General features: G+C 41.5%; 1 annotated feature.

The window, feature by feature from the left end:
- Positions 234 to 816: an enhancer, noted in NCBI's record as "OCT4-NANOG hESC enhancer chr1:102963367-102963949 (GRCh37/hg19 assembly coordinates)". NCBI's record gives its function as "activates a minimal SCP1, AML or CMV promoter by ChIP-STARR-seq in primed H9 embryonic stem cells {active_cell/tissue: H9 hESC(primed)}" and the evidence as "EXISTENCE:reporter gene assay evidence [ECO:0000049][PMID:30033119]".

The raw sequence follows: 2,402 nt of genomic DNA on the forward strand, positions 1-2,402 counted from the left end.
ATACTCTTATAATTTCCTATGCATCTTTACTTTAATCTCTTAATCCCATCATCTTCGTAAACTGAGGATGTATGTTGCCTCAGAACCCTGTAATGATTGCGTTAACTGCACAAATTGTAAAACAGGTGTGTTTGAACAATATGAAATCTGGGCATCCTAAAAAGGAACAGGGTAACAGCAATTTGCAGGGAACAAGGGAGATAACCATAAAGTCTGACTGCCTGCGGGGCTGGGCAGAACAGAGTCATATTTCTCTTCTGTTCTCTTCTGCAAGTAGGAGAAATATCGCTGAATTCTTTTCCCAGCAAGGAATAACCCTGGGAAAGGAATGCATTCCCAGGGGGAGGTCTCCAAATGGCCACTCTGGGAGTGTCTGTCTTATGCAGTTGAAAATAAGGGATGAAATATTCCCTGGTCTCCTGCAGCACCCTCAGGCTTGCTAGGATTAGGAAATTCCAGCCTGGCCAATTCTAGTCAAACCGGTTGTCTACTCTCAAACCCTGTTTCCTATTAAGATGTTTATCAATGACAATGCGTGCCCAGTGGGACATGGAACCTCCTCAGTAATTCTAATTTCACCCTGGCCTTGTGATCTTGTTCTGCCTCTCTGCCCTTGTAATCTTTTATTGCCCTTTCAAGCATGTGATCTTTGTGACTTACTCCCTGTTTGTACCCTCCTCCCCTTTTCAAATCCCTAATAAAAACTTGCTTGTTTTGCAGCTCAAGGGGCATCACAGAACCTGCCAATATGTGTTGTCACACCTGGAGGCCCAGCTGTAAAATTTCTCTCTTTGTACTCTTTCTCTTTATTTCTCAGACCAGCCAACACTTAGGGAAAATAGAAAGGAACCTACATTGACATATTGGGGGCTGGTTCCCCTGATACATATATGTATGTATTATATATGTATTATTTTAATTTAAAAATTATCTAAAATTCTTCCTAAAATATATTAATGTCTTTGCTAATTTTATAATGTTCTGAGAAAACTGTTTGAAGAGGATGTGAAAAACGCAAATAGACTAATAAAATACTAGCAATTTGACCCCATCTTCACATTAGAAGACATTGCTCTGCAACTAAGATTTAGTAAATAGATGGCAAATCTGGATTAGTTTGCTGGGACTGCTGTAACAAAGTAACAGAAACCGGATGGTTTAACCCAACAGAAATTTATTATCTCACAGTTTTGGAAGCTTAGAAGTCCAAACTCAAGGTGTTGGCAAGGCCAAGCTCCTTCTAAATCCTCTAGGTTAGGATCACTCTTTTCTTCATTTAGCTTCCAGTAGTGAAAACATCCTCATAAAGTTAATATAATCCATTGCCAGGTGTTTTTGACAAAAGTATAAGTGTAGAATAGAGTTATGGCTTGGCATTAACTTTTAACCAGCCTGCCCTTTGGTTCACTTCCTTACAGTTGCTTTTTGCCCATAAGTCAAGTAGACCAGGTCACAAGGCACTAACTTCCCTTAATTGTTCCCACAGAAAACATCTTTTACGTTGAGAAATCTCAAGTTTTCCATTTAAGATGCTTCTCAGATCTCACATTCCAGCAAAACTACCATTGCCAACTAGTCTGAGAGCTCCCACTGAGGAAATGACTCAAGTGAAGAATGCAGTTTCCACATTACCCCAATAAGAGTGTAACTTTACCCCCTTATTCTGAGCAATCAGTGAACCCAATCTTCCAGCCCTTTGCCTGCCACAATTCCCTTATAGGCTCTAGCCTAGAACCCCTCAGGGAGACGGGTTTAAGAGTACTTCTTACCTCTTCGTCCATTAGGCTGCCTGATGATTATTAAACTCTTTTCCTGTTGTAACTCCTGCTGTTTCAGTACCTTGGTCTGTTACCACACAGCAGGTAAATGAGACTAGTGATCCAGTAATAGTAGCTCCAGGCTGGGCGTGGTGGCTCACACCTGTAATCCCAGCACTTTGGGAGGCTGAGGAGGGTGGATCACGATGTCAGGAGATCGAGACCATCCTGACTAACATGGTGAAACCCCATCTCTACTAAAAATACAAAAAAAAAAAAATTAGCCGGGCACAGTTGTGGGTGCCTGTAGTCCCAGCTCCTAGGGAGGCTGAGGCAGGAGAATGGCATGAACCCGGGAGGTGGAGCTTGCAGTGAGCCAGTGAGCTGAGATCACGACACTGCACTCTAGCCTGGGCAACAGAGCCAGACTCCATCTCAAAAAAAAAAAAAAAATAGTAGCTCCAGACATTTCTTGGGTAGTAGCAACACAACTTTAGTTTCAGCTTCATCTTCATATTCCTATCTTTCCTATGTGTCTCTTCTCTTCTTGTAAGAACACCAGTCATATTGACTTAAGGGCCACCCTACTCCTATATGACCTCATCTTAATTAATAACATCTAAAAATATCCTATTTCCAAATATG

This window comes from Homo sapiens, chromosome 1, assembly GCF_000001405.40.
Source record: "Homo sapiens chromosome 1, GRCh38.p14 Primary Assembly".
Taxonomy (NCBI): domain Eukaryota; kingdom Metazoa; phylum Chordata; class Mammalia; order Primates; family Hominidae; genus Homo; species Homo sapiens.